Consider the following 19572-nt stretch of genomic DNA (forward strand, 5'->3'; position numbering starts at 1 on the left):
TTCCACCAAACAGTCAAGGAAGAAATAATGTCAATCTTACATAACACTTCCAGAAAATAGGAAAATGAAGACTATCATTCAACTTCTTCTGTGAGCCTAAAATAAGCTTAATAGCAAAGCCTGACAAGAACATTTTGAAAAAGAAAAATTACTAGCCAACCTCATTCATGTACATAATTTAGAAATGCCAAACATAAAATATTAGCAAGTAAAATTCAACAACACATGGAAAGAATAACATAATATGAGCAAGGCATGTTTACTACAGAAATGCAAGGCTGTACTAACACACTAAAACCAATCCATAAAATTCAGAGCATTAACACAATAAAAGAGAAAAATCATATTATCATTTTGATAGAGAAAAATTACCTGACAAAATTCGATATCTCATCATTATTTTTTTAAAAAAGAACTTTCAGCAAACTACAATTAGAAGTGAACTTGCTTAATCTGATAAAGATTATTTATTTAAAAACCTATAGCATTATACTTAATGAAATATTGATAGCTTTCCCTCAAAATGTAGAATGAGATAAGAATGCCCACTGTCATTTCTTCTATCAACTTTGTACTGAACTTTGTACTGTACCAGTACAATAAGGCAAGAAAAAAATTAAAATGTATAAGAATTGGAAAGAAAGAGATAAAACTGTCATATTCATAGCTGACATGTATAATGGCATACATATAAAATACAAAATAATCTACAGAAAAAATATTAGATATCAAAAGCAATTTTAGTAAAGTTGCTGACTACAAAGTCAATAAACAAAATCAATTTATTTCTATATACCAACAACAAATAAACAAATAGACACTTTAAGATGCCATTTATAAAGAACATCAAAAAAAGCAAACAAGAATAAATCTAAAAACTTGTAAACCTCTACACAGAGAAACGCTAAACTATTACTGATAAAAAAAACTTTAAAGGTTTAAATAAATGGAGAGATACACCACGTTCATGGATTCAGAGGCTCAAAATTATAAAGATGTCAATTCTCCCCCAAACTGATACAGAGAAACAATAAAACCACAATCAAAACCCCAAATTTTCTTAAAACTTTACGAGTTGATTATAATATTTTAATGAAAATGCAAAGTGCCAAGATTAGCCAAGACAATCTTGGAAAAGAACAACAAAGTGAGAAGACTTGCTTTATCATATATCAAAATTTATTATAAACCTACAGAATTAAGTCAATGTGGTATTGGTATGAAGACAGACCAACAGATCAATGAGAGAAAATGGAGAGTTAAGAAGCAAATCCAGGCATAAATGAATACATGGTTTATGAAAAATAGCAGCTCATAGAATGGTGGGGAAATAGTGATCTTTAAAAGATAAATGGTTCTGGAAAAATTGTATATTCATATGGAAAAAATAAATTTTTGCTGCTTCTTTATACGATGTACCAAAATTAGTTTCAAGTGATTTGTAGACCTAAGCACAAAAAACAAAACAAATAAATATTTTAGTTGGCAGCATGGGATAATATTAGTTTGGAAAACACTAACCATAGAAATGACTGATACATCTTACATATGTGTCATAAAGGCTTCTCTCAAGATACAGAAAGGAATAAAGCAATAAGAAAAAGCCAGTCACATACAAAATGAGAGAGAAAGAAAGATGCTCAACATCATTAGTCATCAATGCAAAATTAAAACCACGATAAGAGACCATGACATGTCCACCAGAATGGCGAATATTAAAAAGACCACCAACCTCAAATATTGGCAAGAATGTAGAGCAAACAAAACTCTCATTCATTTTTGCTAGGAAAATGGTACCCCTATCCTATTACCCAACAATTCTACTACTAAGTGTTTACCCAGGAGAAATGAAAACATATATCCAGAAAAAGACTTGGACAAGAATGTTGATTGCATCTTTATTAATAAGAGCCCTGGACTGGAAATAACCCAGGTGTCCAACAATAGAAGAATAGACAAACATCTTTATAAAATGAATTACCACTTATCACTAAGAAAAATCAAACTACTGATATAATCAACAGTATGGATGAACTAAAAAAATTATACTGGGTGAAATAAGCCTTACACAAAAAAGAATATACTGAACAAGTCTATTTATATGAAGTTCTAGAATAGGCAAAACTAATCTATAGTGGAAAAAAACTTCCTCTACTCTTGGGAGTTTGGGAAAATTCATGGAGGAATATCCTTGCATAGTGATAATGTTTTATCTTGATATAGGTTTGGGATATATGGTCATATGTAGCTGTCAAAACCTAGAAAATGAACAATTAAGATTTATGCATTTCATTATATGTAAAATTTACATTAAAAAATTAACTGTAAACAAATATTGAATTCTATTTAATGATATGTATGCTGAAAAATTTAGAAGAAAGTGATTGAAGAACTCTGTTTTGAAATGTATCAAAAAGGTAAGATGGATTGATGAATGGGTAGAAATATAATAAAACAAGCACAGTTAAATGTTAATGGTACAAGAACTGGTGCTGAGACAACTGGATACTCACATGCAAAAAAAATGAACTTGCACCCTTACCTCGCTTGTTATACAAAAATTAACTCAAAATGTATCAATCACCTAAATATAAGAACTAAAACTATAAAACTCTTAGGAAAAAACAGGGGTAAATCTTCATGACCTCAGATTTAGCAATGGATTTCTAGATATAAAACCAAAAGTACAAATAACAGCAACACAAATAGGTAAATTGGGCTTCATCAAAATTTAAAACTTTTGTGCATCAAAAGGCATTAAAAAGAAAGTAAAAAGACAACATACAGAATGGGAAATAACATTTACAAATTGTATATCTGAAAAGGGTCTCACATCCAGAATATAGAAAGAGCTCTTACAACTCAACAACAAAATGACAAACAACCCAATTTAAAAATGGGCAAAGGACTTGAATAAACGTTTTTCCAAGGAAAATATATAAATGGCCAACAAGCACATGAAAAGATGCTCAACATCATTAGTGAAACACAAATCAAAACCACAATAAGATATCACTTTGCGCCCACTAAGATGGCTATAACCAAGAAAGACAGACAATAACAAGTGTTGGTGAGGATGTGAAGAAATAGGAACCCTTGTACATTGGTAGTGGGAATGTTCAGCTGCTGTGGAAAACAGTTGGTGGTTCCTTAGAAAGTTAAACATAGAATTACCATATGCCCCCACAATTCATTTGTACTCAAAAAAAGTAAAAACAGGTACTCATACGAATATTTGTACATAGCAGCATTATTCAAAATAGCCTAAATGTGGTCTATACATGGTCATAGCAGCATTATTCACAATAGCTCAAATGTATTGTTCAGTCATAAAAAGGAATTAAATACTGATACATGCAACAAGGTGGATGAATCTTGAAAACATTATGCTAAGTAAAAGAAGCCAGACACAAAAGGTCGCATATTATATGACTCCATTCATATAAAATATCCAAAAGAGGTTAATCCATAAAAACAGAAAGGAGATCAGTAGTTGCCAGGGACTAGGGGGAGGGAAGAATGGGATTAACTGCATAATAGTTATAGAGTTTTATTTTGAGATGATGAAAACATTTTAGAACTAGATAGAGATAGTGGTTGTACAATATTGTGAATGACTACTTGTGAATGTCACTTTATTGTTCACTTTAAAATGATTACTTTTACATTATGTAAATTTCAACTCAATTTTAAAAATTTAAAAATGGAACAAGGGAGAGGATTTAGAAGGTTCTAAATGCTAAAAGAAGTTAATGATAGAATTCAGGTAGTGCGTATACAGGTGTTCACTGAAATCTTTCAATTTTGCTGTATGTTTGAAATTTTTTATGATGAAAGTTCAGGGGGAAAAATGGACAATAACAAGTATAGTGCAACTTAAAATAGCAGGAACTCTCAAATGCTGCTAGTGGAGATGGAAATTAATACAACCACTTTGGAAACCTGTTAGTCATTATTCACTGAAGTTGAATATCTTGATATTTTACAATCCAGCAATCCTTCTTGTAGGTATATATCCAACATAAACGAGTGTACATGAGCACCAAGAGTCTTGTAAAAGAATGTCCATAACAACTCTACTTATAATATCTAAAAACTTTTGGAAACTCAAATGTTTATCAACAGTAGAATGGATAAGTAAACAGTAGGGTAGTTTATAATCACACAGTGGAACCTTATATAACAGCCAAAAATGAACTCACTACAGCAGTACACAACATGGTTGAATCTCCTAAACATAATAGCAAATGAAAGAAGAAAGACTCAAAAGAACATATATGTAACTCAAAAACAGGCAAAACTAAATTATACAGTAAATATTTTAAAAATTATACAGTAAATATGAATTATTGGGTGGTAAAGGTAAAAAGAAAAGCAAGGAAATGATTACCATAAAAATCAGGATAGTGGTTACACTTGGGAGAAAGGAGGGGATTATGATTGGGAAACGGGCCTTTCATGTGGGGGATGCTAGCAATGTTCTATTTCTTTACTGGGATGCCTAAATTTTTGCTTTTTAATAATTAGGCTGTATGTTTATGTTATGTACTTCCTTGCATGTATTTTGTATTTCACAATTTTTAAAAGTAAAAAATATCTTGCATACACATGGACAAGCATATCAGGAAATGGGATCCCTCATACATTGCTGGTGGGAATATAAACCAGCAAGCTCTCTCGGGAGAAGGAAGTATTTCCCATGAAATTCAGTAGGCATTCTGCCTACCACCTGGCGGCCCCACTTCTAAATATCTACCCCAGAGAAATTCCTCACAGATCTCTGCATAGGCTGTTCTTTGCAACATTTGTTTATTTATTTACTTTTGGTAGTGTGTAGTTGGAGGCAACCTCCGTGTTTCTTAGAAAAGGAACTAATAAGTAAAATCTGATACATACATATTAAGGAAAGATAGGTAGTCAGAAGCAATGAACTCTAAAAAAAATAGAGTAACATGGATTGGTTTTTTAATAGTGTTGAGTGGGAAAAAGTAATACAATTATATCTATGCCCTTTATGTAATGTAAAACACATATACAAAGATACGTTTTTCAGACACATACTTATCCAAGTACAGGCAATGTATATATACCTACATCTATACCTATCCCAAATACTTTAGAGTAGGGGATGGCTATGGGAGGTAGGAAAGTGGAAACAAGGCTCAGGATGGAGGGACTGAAGGGATAGGAGCCTGAAATGGATGATGATGGTTGTGTGCTGTGAACAGAATTATATAATTAATTCAATTCTCCACTCCTAAGGTTCAAAGGAGAAACAAAAGAGTAAAATAATATACTAATATTGTTATTGTTGCTAATCTACAGCACTCTCAGATCAGTGTAGGGGCCCCTTCATATCCTTAAACCTTATCAGATTTATTTTTCCGGGCTCCCTTTGCAGGGGCTACTTCTTTATGTGATGCCTGTGCTTTTCCACATATTAAAGAGCTGGTCTCCCCAGCACTGCATCTTCCTTTGCAAATCCTACAGAATTATTTTGTGGAGTTGTTACAGTACACCAACCAAATAAGCTTCTACAAATATCATCTATGTGTGTGGTTTTGAAAGGCATACTACTGTTACAGCTATTATATGAATATTAACCTATAAAATACAATGTAATATTTCTAGTAAAAATGTTCACCGCTGCAGCTGAATCTAAAGATTCTACCCCAAGAATACAAGTTTAAATAGACACTTAAAAAAGTATTATTTACTTTAAAAATGAATGTAGCATTCTTTGCTTATTAAAAAATAATCCCATAAACTACTAGAATATTCTTTATGGATCAGAATCTTTAAATTTACATAGGTCCTATGTAAAAATTATATTCAAACCATAAAATTTCAGATAATATTCTAGAACAAATTTGCAACTACACCACTATATGTGGGGGGCGGCGGGGAAAGACCTTATATGGACAAAAAAATGAGAAGCAAGGGTAACTAAGCAGAGACAATGAAAAACAGTTTTGAATAAAGCATCTACAAAATTTCAATTTTTTTTTCTTTTTGAGACAGAGTCTCACTGTCACCCAGGCTGGAGTGCAGTGGTGTGATCTCGGCTCACTGCAACCTCCAACTCCCGGATTCAAGTGATTCTCCTGCTTCAGCCTCCCAAGTAGCTGGGATTACAGGCATGCACCACCACGCCTGGCTAATTTTTGTATTTTTAGTGGAGACAGGCTTTCACTATGTTGCCCAGGCTGGTCTCAAACCCCTGAGCTCAAATTATCCTCCCACCTTGGCCTCCCAAAGTGCTGTGATTACAGGTGTGAGCCACACTGACCTGGCCTCAAAACTTCAATTTAACCAAACACTTATTGAGCATTTAATGTGAGAAAGGCATAGTCTGGGAGCTGAGGATACCAACATGAAGTAGGTCCTGCTCTCAGAGATCAAAGTCTAAAAACAATAAATGATGTGTAGTGGTTTTAGTGTCTTTATTCCCCAGACAAAGGGATGTTTTGACTGTGTTTATAAAATGTGTACAAATTAAGACTCAACAGTTTAAAGATTATATTTTATATTTGTGAACCCAATAGTTATGTTTAAACATTTTGTGGCACATTAACTGTTCTGGGTAAATACCAAAGACGTTCATGGATCCAGTCATTTTTGAGTTTTTTCTTTTTTTAAGAGTCATGGTTAATTTTAGCTGGACAGTCTGAATCAGGTCATTTCTATCTTGCTGAGTTCCTCTTACAGTCTCAGCTGGACCCAGCATCCTTCATTTCCTATCCTAAATTGCCCCCCTTATGTTCTATGCTTGCTGTGGAGAAGAACTGTAGCTCTTAATTGTCTGTGGCCAGATCCTCCCACTCCATCTTCCCCTTCTGCACAGAACACTCCATGTCACTCTGGGGAGAAACATGCTATATTTATGCAAAGGGTGGCCGTATGGATGTTTCTCATAAACACCGAGGTTTAGAATGTCAAAAGTCATGTCAGACCTTAAGGTAACAACAAAACTTTCTTGGAAATCTATTCCATGATGTTCACTTTGATGTCAGTTACAACTGTGTTGTGCATACGTATATCTCGGTATAGTCACAGCAAAGAAGCAGGGATGACTAGCACACAGGGCTAATACTAATGACTTTATTTTCTACCACATCCTACCAATTAAGTAGTTCTCATAGTGGTTACCTGAATCACAAAAATTCTAGGGTCTTCAACTCCATAATGACAGACAGGAAAGGGAACAGTTGGCCTAGCTTCAGCCATTTATCCTGGACTCACAAAAACCATCTTTTTTCATTTGTCTAGTCTTTCCCAGTCACCAGTATTAATAAACAGCTGCCAGATGACAAGACGAAATTGCCTCTGCCCATGGATTAGAGTATTATGTTATAAGCTCAACAGCAGAAGTTTAAATTATGAAAGTGAGAACAAATGAAGCCTACTTGCTAAGATTTGCCTACCTAGCTGGTGTAAGACAATCTTAGCTCTACTGAGAAATTTACAGTGCATATTGTTTTTCTTTCATCTGCCCTTATAAGAATGGATAGTTCTGCAGTCAAAATTTTTGCCCAAGGATTTTACTGTCACAATGAACTTTGGTCATCAAAGTCTGAGCCAAAGAAAATTGAAGGTGATTGGTCTAATCAGTTTCCCATTCCTTGGGAATGCCACTAAAGAATGCTACCCTGTTTTCTTGGCTCAATGCAAATAGCCTCATTTATTATGTGTACATCCAAGTTTATGCTCGTCTGAGGAGAATTATATTCAGAATTTAGATTCCAAAAAGCAAGCCCCCTGCAAGTCTCCTGATGATTAATTAGTCATTTAATTTCAATGTTTACTGAGATCCTACTGTGTGGAGTACTGTGCTAGGTGCCGGGGACCTATATCCCTGTAATATAAATATCCTCCTTGATCTCAAGGAGCTTAGAGTGCAATAAAAGAGATAAAAACTACCTATAAATGAAACAAGGACTCTCAGAGATTCATAAGCAAAGTGTTAAAAAAAAAGTAATGAAAATTATCTGGGGAGAGCAGAGAAGACTCCAGTGAAGATACAGAAGTTAAACTAGAAATAAAAATTCTGAAGTCAAAGACGAGGAAAAAAAGACATCACCAACAAAGTCAAAGGGGCTTAAGAGTTAAGTACAGTCATGCACCATATTAACAACATTTCAGTCAATGACAAACCACATATATGATGTTGATCCTGTAAGATTATAATACCATATTTTTACCGTACCTTTTCTATGTTTAGGTCCACAAATACTTACTATTGGGTTACAATTCCCTATATTATTCAGAAGAGTCACTTGCTGTACAGGTGTGTAGCCTAGGAGCAATAGGCTGTACCGTGTAGCCTACATGTATAGCAGGCTAAACCATCGAGGTTTATGCAAGTACTCTCTATGATGTTCGCACCATGATGAAACCACCAATGCACTTCTCAGAACATACTCCTGTCATTAAGTGATGGATGACTATAGTTCAGAATTGTATTTTAAAAGAGAAAAGGCACTGGATGTTGAGTTCCAAGACAGGTTTTAATTCCTGCCTCATCTTTTATTCTCTATGGAAACCTGACTGGTAAGAAAAATGGGAATAGGTTTGCTTACATGCAGAGGTGCTATTCAAAAATTTGATATGTGGTATTATGGTATAAGCACTGACCAATCAAAACAAATATTGGCTATAATAATCAGTACAGACATTTTGGTGCATTCCAAGGGAATACTTACCGACCTTGCCTACATCTTTTTCCCTCCTATCTTTCTGCTTTAGAATTTAGGTTCCATGAGAGCAACCACTGTTAACCATTGCGTTCGGAAAATGTGACTGGGATTTATTTTCATTAGGTATGGTAAGACACATAGGCCCAGAAATGGCTGATATGAAGGAACAAGTTTTTACTCACCAGTCCCTGGAAATAGGAGGGACATGCCCATGCAGATCCACATGGGGAATCCGACCATGTTTGGTCAGGAGGCCGAAGAGGAAGAGAAGAAAACATGGCCCAGAGCCTTTATTGGGGTTTTCACAAGAAGGAGTGGGTGCAGCAGGGTAGGTATAATGAGCAAGCTAATGATTAGACAGTTTGAATAATTTTGACGGACTCTGGGCTGTTGGAGTGCTTCCTAGTTGTTCAGTACCTGGCCCTGGGGTCATTTAGGGCAGAAGAAATATTGGCTTGTTGTGTGAGAGTTTGATAAAGGAGATGTTTCGGGGAGTGGGCTCTGGATTGGTTGGTTTGTATGTTAAAGATATGCTCACAGTGGAGTCATTTGATCTCTCTAGGAATTAGCTAGCCCTGGGAGGGTCGGTCTCTCCAGCAGCAAGGCCTCAGCAAGAGCATCAAGAATATAGAAAATAAGAAAATATAATTAATACACACTGCTTCCAGCATGCCTGGTAAGTGTAAGTGCTCAACAAGTAGGTATTATATAGATGAATAAGTAAATGAGAGATTATTTAAATGTGACTGGAGTATAGAATAGACGAAAATATATATGGGACTAGGACTAAAAATGTATGGGTATTTTGGGGGTTTTATATAAACATATGGGGTACAAGTGCAGTTTTTTACCTGCATAGATTGTGTAGATGTCAAGTCAGGGCTTTTAGGGTATCCACCACCCAAATAATATACATTGTACCCTTTAAATAATTTCTCATCATTCACCCCCTCCCACTCCTTCATCCTACTGAATCTCTCCACTCTCTATTTCCATGATTCCACTCTCTATGTCCATCTATACATATTATTTAGCTCCCACTTATGAGTGAGAACATGCAATATTAATCTTTTGTGTCTGACCTGTTTCATTTAAGATAATGACCTCCAATTCTACCCATGTCGCTGCAAAAGACATGATTTCTTTTCTTTTCTAAATAACTTCCACTTCCACTTTTATTTTAGATTCAGGAAGTACATGTGCAGGTTTGTTACATGGGTAGTGTGACACTGAGGTTTGGGGTACAAATGATCCTGTCACTCAGGTAGTGAGCATAATACTAAATGGGTAGCATTTCATTTCACCCCTTGCCTCTCTTCTTCCCTCCCCACTATAGTATTCCCCAGTGTCTATTGTTCCCATCTTTATGTCCAGGTGTATCCAATGCTTGGCTCCTACTTATAAGTGAGAACATGTGGTATTTGGTTTTCTGTTCCTGCATTAATTCGCTTAGGATGATGGCCACCAGCTACATCCATGTTGCTGCAAAGGACATGATTTTGTTCTTTTTTGTGACTGCATAAGATTCCAAAAAGACAGGATTTCATTCTTTAAAAATGTACATTGAAGTCAGATGGGAAGGCTTGCATTCCATGCTAAGAAGCTGGTCTTGTAACAAATTTTAAAGTAGTTCTGAATATCCACTATGTGCCCGTAATGAAATCAGGATAATTATATTGGCCACTCAAGTAATGACTGGTAAACTAGAGAGGTTTTTGTTTACTTTTTCTCAGAAGTCTTTTTCTATATTATTTCACACCATCTGTCTCAGTGAGTTTGGGCTACTATAACAAATACCATAGATTAGGTGGCTTTAACAACAAGCATTTATTTCTCACAAATCTGCAGGCTGAGAAGTCTAAGATTAAGGTACCAGCCTGGTAGGGGCTCTCTTCCTGGTTTGCAGGTGGCCATCTTGCTGTATCTTCATGGGAGGAGAGAGAGAGAGATCATCTTTCTGGTATCTCTTTTTATAAAGGCATTCATCTCATCATGAGGGGCTCCACCCTCATGACCTCATTACCTCCCAAAGACCCCACCTCCAAATGCTATCACACTGGGGATAAGGGTTTCAGCATCAGAATTTTGGGTAGATATAAGCATTGAATTCATTGCACCATCTGCAGACAAAAGTGGAAATTAGCCTTCTATAAATATCAATTCATATTCTTTGTGCTCTGGAATGTCTTCCCTAATCAAGTTAATCTGCCTTTTTTATATTCTGTTTTGGATCATGCTTCTTAGACTTTAATGTGCGTAAGAGTCACCTGGCAGATCTTGTTAAAATGTATATTGTGATTCAGTAGGTCTGGGGTGGAGTGGGGCTGATTCTGCCTTTCTAATGAGCTCTCTGGTGATTCCAGTCCTGCTGGTCTAGGGGGTGTACTTTGAATAGTAAGGTTTCAGAGGGTGAACACTTTTTTATTAAAAAGGCAATACAGTACACAAAACTGGTTAAGAGCAAGTCTGGGTTTGAACCCTGACTGCTGCATGTGGCTGAGGACAAGTTACTTAATCTCTCTAAGCCTCTGTTTCCTGTAAAATGAGGATAACAAATAGTACCAACTTCAAATGGTTGCTTTAAAAGGCTTAGCACAGTGTTTTATACTAACAGCTAAAAGAAAACACCACAATAGTGACAAGAATGGCAAGAATAGTAACCATGGTAATATTTAGGATAGAAGGATAATCACATAAACTTGGATTATATCCAATGAATATTCCTGACAGCTCAGTGGTCAGGATTCTAAGATGGTACCTAACCACCCTCCCAACAAATTTATGGCAGTCTGATTAAGATTTTTTCCTCCCAGTGATGGAAACAAGAGTAGGTTCTGTATAGCTGGGCCTTTACATACAGAACAGGCTCACAAAATAAAATACAAAGTAAAACATAAGCAATCTTTAAGAATATTACCTAGCTTTCCTCAACCCAGTGAAGGAGAAAAAGGGAAGATAACCAGCTAAGAGGGAAATGAAGGGTTATGGCATCTCATCACTCCTGATAGAATTCCCAGTACACTGTAAAGCGAGAGGGTGTCAAATGTTACTCTAGCAGCTGGCAGGACCCCGTGGGATGAGTCTTGCTTTGATAATTCTGCAAACATATCACAGCATATGCAATAGCAGCAGAAGCATGAACCCCAACTGGTCTTGTCTCAAGCTGCCTTGGGGATATATGGTCACAGAAATATCAGTTTAAGAATTCTAAACTCTTGAAACTTCTCAAGACTGGCTAGACATTTATAAGCTATGCTACCCAGGCCCAAGTAACGTAATGATCCTTTTAAAACATACTGCTAAGAGCTAATGACATTCTTACATTTCAAACATAGTTTTGTGTCCATTCAAATTGCTGGGAGGATCACATGATTCTCAGGCAACATGGTGAAACTCCGTCTCTATAAAAAATAACAAAAATTAGTCAGGTGTGGTGGCACATGCCTTTAGTCCCAGGCTCGTAGGGAGGATGAGGTGGGAGGATCACCTGAGCCCAGGTAGGTTGAGGCTGCTTTGGGCCATGATCACGCCACTGCACTCCAGCCTGGGTGACAGAGCAAGACCCTGTCAAAGAAAAGAAAAGAATGTAGGGAGGGAGGGAGGGAGGGAGGGAGGAAGGAAGGAAGGAAAGAAGGAAGGAAGGAAAGAAAAGTCAAACTGCTGTATTCCAACAAAATTGTATAAAACCTGTTTCACATTTATGGTATACAGGCTTCAACTAATGAAGGTGATATTTTGATGACTAAAAGGAGAATGTCTTGTTTCAAATTGGCAGAGGAAATGGGAGCCAAAGCCCTGGAAAAAGAAATTTTTCTAAAACCCCTACCAGTACAAAATCTGAGGCTACTGCTATACCAAGGAGAAAATCAATATAATTCAGTAGGGGGAAAAGAAATTGAGAAAGTTTACTACCAACCAATTCTCATTAAAGAAAATTCTGTGTATGCACTTCAGGCAGAAGGAAAGTAATCTCAGGTGGAAAGTCTGACATGCAAAGAAAATTGTAGATATGTCATCAGAGTGAACAGACAACTTATAAAATGGGAGAAAATTTTTGCAATCTATCCATCTGACAAAGGTCTAATATGCAGAGTCTACAAGGAACTTAAACAAATTTACAAGAAAAAAGCAAACAACCCCAATATAAAGTGAGCAAAGGACATGAACAGACACTTCTCAAAAGAAGACATACATTCAGTCAACAAACATGAAAAAAAGCTCAATATCACTGATCATTAGAGAAATGCAAATCAAAACCATAATGAGATACCATCTCATGTCAGTCATAATGGCTATTATTAAAAAGTCAGAAAACAACAGATGCTGCCAAGGAGATGGAGTAAAAGGAATTCTTTTTTTTTTTTTTTTTTTTTTTGAGATGGAGTCTTGCTCTGTTGCCCAGGCTAGAGTGCAGTGGCGCGATCTTGGCTCACTGCAACCTCTGCCTCCCAGGTTCAAGTGATTCTCCTGCCTCAGCCTCCTGTGTAGCTGGAATTATAGGCATCCACCACCACGCCAGGCTAATTTTTGTATTTTTAGTAGAGACAAGGTTTTGCCATGTTGGCCAGGCTGATCTCGAACTCCTGACCTCAGGTGATCCCCCTGCCTTGGCCTCCCAAAGTGTTGGGATTAGAAGCATGAGCAACCACACCTGGCAGAAAAAGGAACACTTTTACACTGTTGGTGGAAGTATATATTAGTTCAACCATTGTGGAAGACAGTATGGCAATTCCTCAAAGACCTAGAGGCAGAAATACCATTCAACTCAGCAATCCCACTATTGGATATATACCCAATGGAATATAAATTATTCTATTATAAAGATACATGGACACGTATGTTCATTGCAGCACTATTCACAATAGCAAAGACATGGAATCAGCCTAAATCCCCATCAATGATAGGCTGGATAAAGAAAATGTGGTATATATACATCATGGAATACTATGCAGCCATAAAAAGGAACAAAATCATGTCCTTGAAAGGGATATGGATGGAGCTGGAAGCCATTATCCTCAGCAAACTAACACAGGAACAGAAAACTAAATACTACATGTTCTCACTTGTAAGTGGGTGCTGAATGACGAGAAAACATGGACACATGGGGGAGAAGAACAACACGCACGGGGGCCTACTGGAGGGTAAAGGGTGGGAGGAGGGAGAGCATCAGGAAAAATAGCTAATGGGTGCTGGGCTTAATACGTAGGTGATGGGATGATCTGTACAGCAAACCACCATGGCACATGTTTACCTGTGTAACAAACATGAACATCCTGCATGTGTATCCCTGAACTTAAAATAAAAGTTGGAAATTAAAAAAGGGATAAAAAATGCTGTAAAAAGAGAAAAATGTAGATATGTGATAGACTGAAAACAAAACACTGATTCTTATAAAATAAAAATGAAAAGGTTTTGTGGAGCTAAACAAAAATGATAAAGTTCTATTACATAACAATAACATAATAACATATAAGACAGAGCATGTAAGCCAGGAGTGGTATGATTAGAATTAAAATGTTCTAAGATTCAACATAGTACTGGAAGTCCTAGCCAGAGCAATCAGACAAGAGAAATAAATAAAAGACATCTAAATAGAAAAAAGAAGTCATTGGCAGATAGGAGGCAGGACTAGATTTCAGCTCCAACTCGGATGGACAGAGCAGCATGTGAAGCTCACATTGTGAATTTTTGCTCCAGAATGACTGCAGGAATGAATCAGGAAACCTGAGAGGACCGGCAGACCCCCTGATGGAAGTGGATTGCTTTTGCAGGACTCAGGAGACACCCCAAATACTGTGCTGGTATCCATGGCTGAGAGACCCACAGACAGTTCACATCACAGTACTCTGTGCAGATAACCCCCACTACCAGCCCAGAGCCTGGTAGACTTGCTGGATGGCTAGATCCAGAAGAGAGATAACAATCACTACATCTCGGCTCTCAAGAAGCCACATCCTTAGGAAAAAGGGGAGAGTACTACATCAAGGGAACACCCTGTGGGACAAAAGAATCTGAATAACAGCCTTCAGCCCTAGACCTTCCCTCTGACAGAGCCTACCCAAATGAGAAGGAACTAGAAAACCAACTCTGGTAATATGACAAAACAAGGTTCTTTAACACCTCCAAAAAATCACACTAGCTCACCAGCAATGGACCCAAACTAAGAAGAAATCCCTGATTTACCTGAAAAAGAATTCAGGAGGTTAGTTACTAAGCTAATCAGGGAGGCACCAGAGAAAGGCAAAGCCCAATGTAAGGAAATCCAAAAAACGATGCAAGTGAAGGGAGAAATATTCAAGGAAATAGATAGCATAAATAAAAAAACAATCAAAACTTCAGGAAACAATGGACACACTTATAGAAATGCAAAATGCTCTGGAAAATCTCAGCAATAGAACTGAACAAGTGAAAGAAGGAAATTCAGAGCTCAAAGACAAGGTCTTTGAATTAACCCAATCCAAGAAAGACAAAGAAAAATGAATAAGAAAATATGAACAAAGCCTCCAAGAAGTCTGGGATTATGATAAACGACCAAAGCAAAGAATTATCGGTGTTCCTGAGGAAGAAGAGAATTCTAAAAGTTTGGAAAACATAATTGGGAGAGTAATTGAGGAAAACTTTCCTTGCCTTGCTAGATACCTAGACATCCAAATACAAGAAGTACAAAGAACACCTGGGAAATTCATCACAAAAAGATCATCGCCTAGCCACATTGTCATCAGATTATCTAAAGTTAAGATGAAGAAAAAAATCTTAAGAGCTGTGAGACAAAAGCACCAGGTAACCCATAAAGAAAAACCTATCAGATTAACAGCAGATTTCTCAGCAGAAACCCTGAAAGCTAGAAGGGCCTAGGGCCCTATCTTCAGCCTCCTCAAACAAAACAACAGCCAAGAATTTTGTACCCGGTGAAATTAAGCTTCATAAGTGAAGAAAAGGTACAGTCTTTCTCAAACAAATGCTGAAAGAATTTGCCACTACCAGGCCACCACTACAAGAACTGCTAAAAGGAGCTCTAAATCTTGAAACAAATCCTGGAAACACATCAAAACAGAACTTCTTTAAAGCATAAATCTCATAGGACCTATAAAACAAAAACACAATTTAAAAAACAAAAACAAAAAAACAAAAAATCAAGGTATACAGGCAACGAATAGCACAATGAATGGAATGGTACCTCACATCTCAATACTAACATTGAATGTAAATGGCCTAAACGCTCCACTTAAAAGATACAGAATCGTGAAATGGATAAGAAGTCACCAACCATCTGCTGGCTTCAAGAGACTCACCTAATACATAAGGACTCACACAAACTTAAGGTAAAGGGGTATAAAAAGACATTTCAAGCAAAGGGACAATGAAAGCAAGTAGGAGTAGCTGTTCTTATATCAGACACAACAAACTTTAAAGCAATAGCAGTTAAAAAAGACAAAGAGAGACATTATATAATAATAAAAGGCCTTGTCCAAGAGGAAAATATCACAATCCTAAATATATATGAACCTAACACTGGAGCTGCCAAATGAATAAAATAATTACTAATAGACCTAAGAAATGAGATAGACAGCAACACAATAATAGTGGGAGACTTCAGTACTCCACTGACAGCCCTAGACAGGTCATCAAGAGAGAAAGTCTACAAAGAAACAATGGATTTAAACTATACCTTGGAACAAATTGACTTAATAGATATATACAGAACATTCCATCCAACAACCGCAGAATATACATTCTATTCAATAGCGCATGGAACTTTCTCCAGGATACACCATATGATAGGCCACAAAATGAGCCTCAATAGATTTAAGAAAATCGAAATTGTAACAAGCACTCTCTCAGACCACAGTGGAATAAAACTGGAAATCAACTCCAAAAAGTACCTTCAAAACCATGCAAATACATGGAAATTAAATAACCTGCTCCTGAATGATCATTGGGTGAAAAATGAAATCAAAATGGAAATTAAAATGTTCTTCAGACTGAACAATAGTGACACAACCTATCAAAACCTCTGGGACACAGCAAAGGCAGTGCTAAGAGGAAAGTTCCTAGCCCTAAATGCCTACATCAAAAAGTCTGAAAGAGCACAAACAATCTAAGGTCGCACCTCAAGGAACTAGAGAAACAAGAAAAAACCAAACCCAAACCCAGCAAAAGAAAGGAAATAACCAAGATCAAAGCAGAACTAAATGAAATCGAAAAAAACAAACAAAAATACAAAAGACAAGTCAGCTTCTTCAAGAAAACACCGAGTGACGATGATGCCAGTGCAGCACGGGGACAGGTCGGGCCGGAGGCCCCAAGGGCCCTGGGATGGGGAACCACAGTGGCTTCCGGGGAGGCTTCGGCAGTGGCATCCAGGGCCAGGGTCGCAGCCACGGAGCTTGCGGAGGCAAGTTGAGGACAAGGAGTTGGATGCCCATCACCAAGCTGGGCCGTCTGGTCAAGGACATGAAGATGAAATCCCTGGAGATCTATCTCTTCTCCCTGCCCATCAAGGAGTCTGAGATCATTGACTTTTTCCTGGGGGCCTCTCTCAAGGATGAGGTTTTAAAGGTTACGCCAGTGCAGAAGCAGACCCACGCTGGCCAGTGCACCAGGTTCAAGGCGTTTGTTGCCTTGACTACATTGGGGACTACAATGGCCACGTCGGTCTGGGTGTTAAGTGCTCCAAGGAGGTGGCCACTGCCATCCGTGGGGCCATGATCCTGGCCAAGCAGTCCATTGTCCCTGTGCTACTGGGGGACAGAGGCTACTGGGGGAACAAGATTGGAAAGCCCCATGCCATCCCTTGCAAGGTGACAGGCCGCTGTGGCTCCGTGCTGGTGACCTCATCCCTGTGCCCAGGAGCACTGGCATCATCTCGGCCCCTGTGCCCAAGAAGCTGCTGATGATGGCTGGTATTGATGACTGCTACACCTCAGCCAGGGGCTGCACTGCCACCCTGGGCAACTTCGGCAAGGCCACCTTTGATGCCATCTCAGACCTACAGCTACTTGACCTCCGACCTCTGGAAGGAGACTGTATTCACCAAGTCTCCCTATAAGTAATTCACTGACCACCTCGTCAAGACCCACTCTAGAGTCTCCGTGCAAAGGACCCAGGCTCCAGCTGTGGCTACAACATAGAGTTTTTATACAAGAAAAATAAAGTGAATGAAGCTTGAAAAAAAAAAGATAAATCAAACAAAAAGCTGGTTCTTTGAAATGATAAATAAAATCGATGGACCATTAGCAAGATTAACCAAGAAAAGAAGAGCAAAAATCCAAATAAGCTCAGTAAGAAATGAAATGGGAGATATTACAACTGACACCACAGAAATACAAAAGATGACTCAAGGCTGCTATGAACACCTTTACACACATAAACTAGAAAACCTAGAAGAGATGGATAAATTGTTGGAAAGATACAACCCTCTTAGCTTAATTTAAATCAGGAAGAATTAGATACCCTGAACAGACCAATAACAAGCAGTGAGATTGAAATGGTAATTTAAAAATTACCAACAAAGAAGTCCAGGACCAGACGGATTCACAGCAGAATTCTACCAGAGGTTCAAAGAAGAATTGGTACCAATCCTATTGACACTATTCCACAAGATAGAGAAAGAGGGACCCCTCCCTAAATCATTCCATGAAGCCAGTATCACCCTAATACCAAAACCAGGAAAGGACATAACCAAAAGTGAAAACTACAGACCAATAGCCCTGATGCACATGATGCTAAAATCCTTAACAAAATACTAGCTAACCGAATCCAACAAAATATCAAAAAGATAATCCACCATGATCAAATGGGTTTCATACCAATGATGCAGGGATGGTTTAACATACACAAGTCAATATATGTGATACATCACATAAACAGAATTAAAAACAAAAATCACATGATCATCTCAATAGATGCAGAAAAAGTATTCAACAAAATCAGCATCCCTTTATGATTAAAACTCTCAGCAAAATCAGCATACAAGGATCATACCTCAATATAATAAAAGTCATCTATGACAAACCGGCAGCCAAAATAATACTGAATGGGGAAAAGTTGAAAGCATTCCCTCTGAGAACTGGAACAAGACAGGGATGCCCACTCTCACTACTCTTCTTCATCATAGTACTGGAAGTCCTAGGTAGAGCAATCAGACAAGAGAAAAAATAAAGGGCATCCAAATCAGTAAAGAGGAAGTCAAGCTATCACTGTTTGCTGATGATATGACCATTTATCTAGAAAACCCTAAAGACTCCTCCAGAAAGCTCCTAGAACTGATAAAAGAATTCAGCAAAGTTTCTGGATACAAATTACTGTACACAAATCAGTAGCTCTTCTATACACCAACGGTGACCAAGCTGAGAATCAAATCAGGAACTCAACCCCTTTTACAGTAGCTACAAAAAAAAAAAACAAACAAAAAATAAACTTAGGAATATACCTAATCACGGAGGTGAAAGATCTCTACAAGGAAAATTACAAAACACTGCTGAAAGAAAACATAGATGCCACAAACAAATGGAAACACAGTCCATGCTCATGGATGTGTAGAATCAATATTGTGAAAATGACCACACTGCCAAAAGCAATCTACAAATTCAGTGCAATTCCCATCAAAATACCACTATTATTCCTCACAGAATTAGAAAAAATAATTCTAAAATTCATATGGAACCAAAAGAGAGGCCTCATGGCCAAAGCAAGGCTAAGCAAAAAGAACAAATCTGGAGACATCACATTACCTGATTTCAAACTATACTATAAGGCCATAGTCACCAAAACAGCATGGTACTGGTATAAAAATAGGCATATAGACCAACGGAACAGAATAGAGAACCCAGAAATAAACCCAAATACTTACAGCCAACTGATCTTCAACAAAGCA

The 19572-nt window shown here is 37.5% G+C and overlaps 1 protein-coding gene and 1 pseudogene across 3 annotated transcripts in view; one reads left to right on the forward strand and one right to left on the reverse strand.

Annotated features, from left to right (window-relative positions):
- Nucleotides 1-19572, reverse strand: part of WDR41 (WD repeat domain 41) — a 189645-nt gene that overhangs the window by 97507 nt on the left and 72566 nt on the right. For 2 of the 3 annotated variants that reach the window (XM_047417350.1, XM_047417349.1), the window contains one exon: nucleotides 12019-12097. The exons of the other annotated variant lie outside the window; for it this stretch is intronic. In XM_047417350.1, the coding sequence (XP_047273306.1) occupies nucleotides 12019-12029 (11 nt within the window). In that variant the 5' untranslated portion in view covers nucleotides 12030-12097. The remainder of the gene's footprint in view (nucleotides 1-12018; nucleotides 12098-19572) is intronic. 3 annotated transcript variants of the gene reach the window in all.
- Nucleotides 16932-17864, forward strand: RPS2P24 (ribosomal protein S2 pseudogene 24; annotated as a pseudogene).

This window comes from Homo sapiens, chromosome 5 (assembly GCF_000001405.40).
Source record: "Homo sapiens chromosome 5, GRCh38.p14 Primary Assembly".
Taxonomy (NCBI): domain Eukaryota; kingdom Metazoa; phylum Chordata; class Mammalia; order Primates; family Hominidae; genus Homo; species Homo sapiens.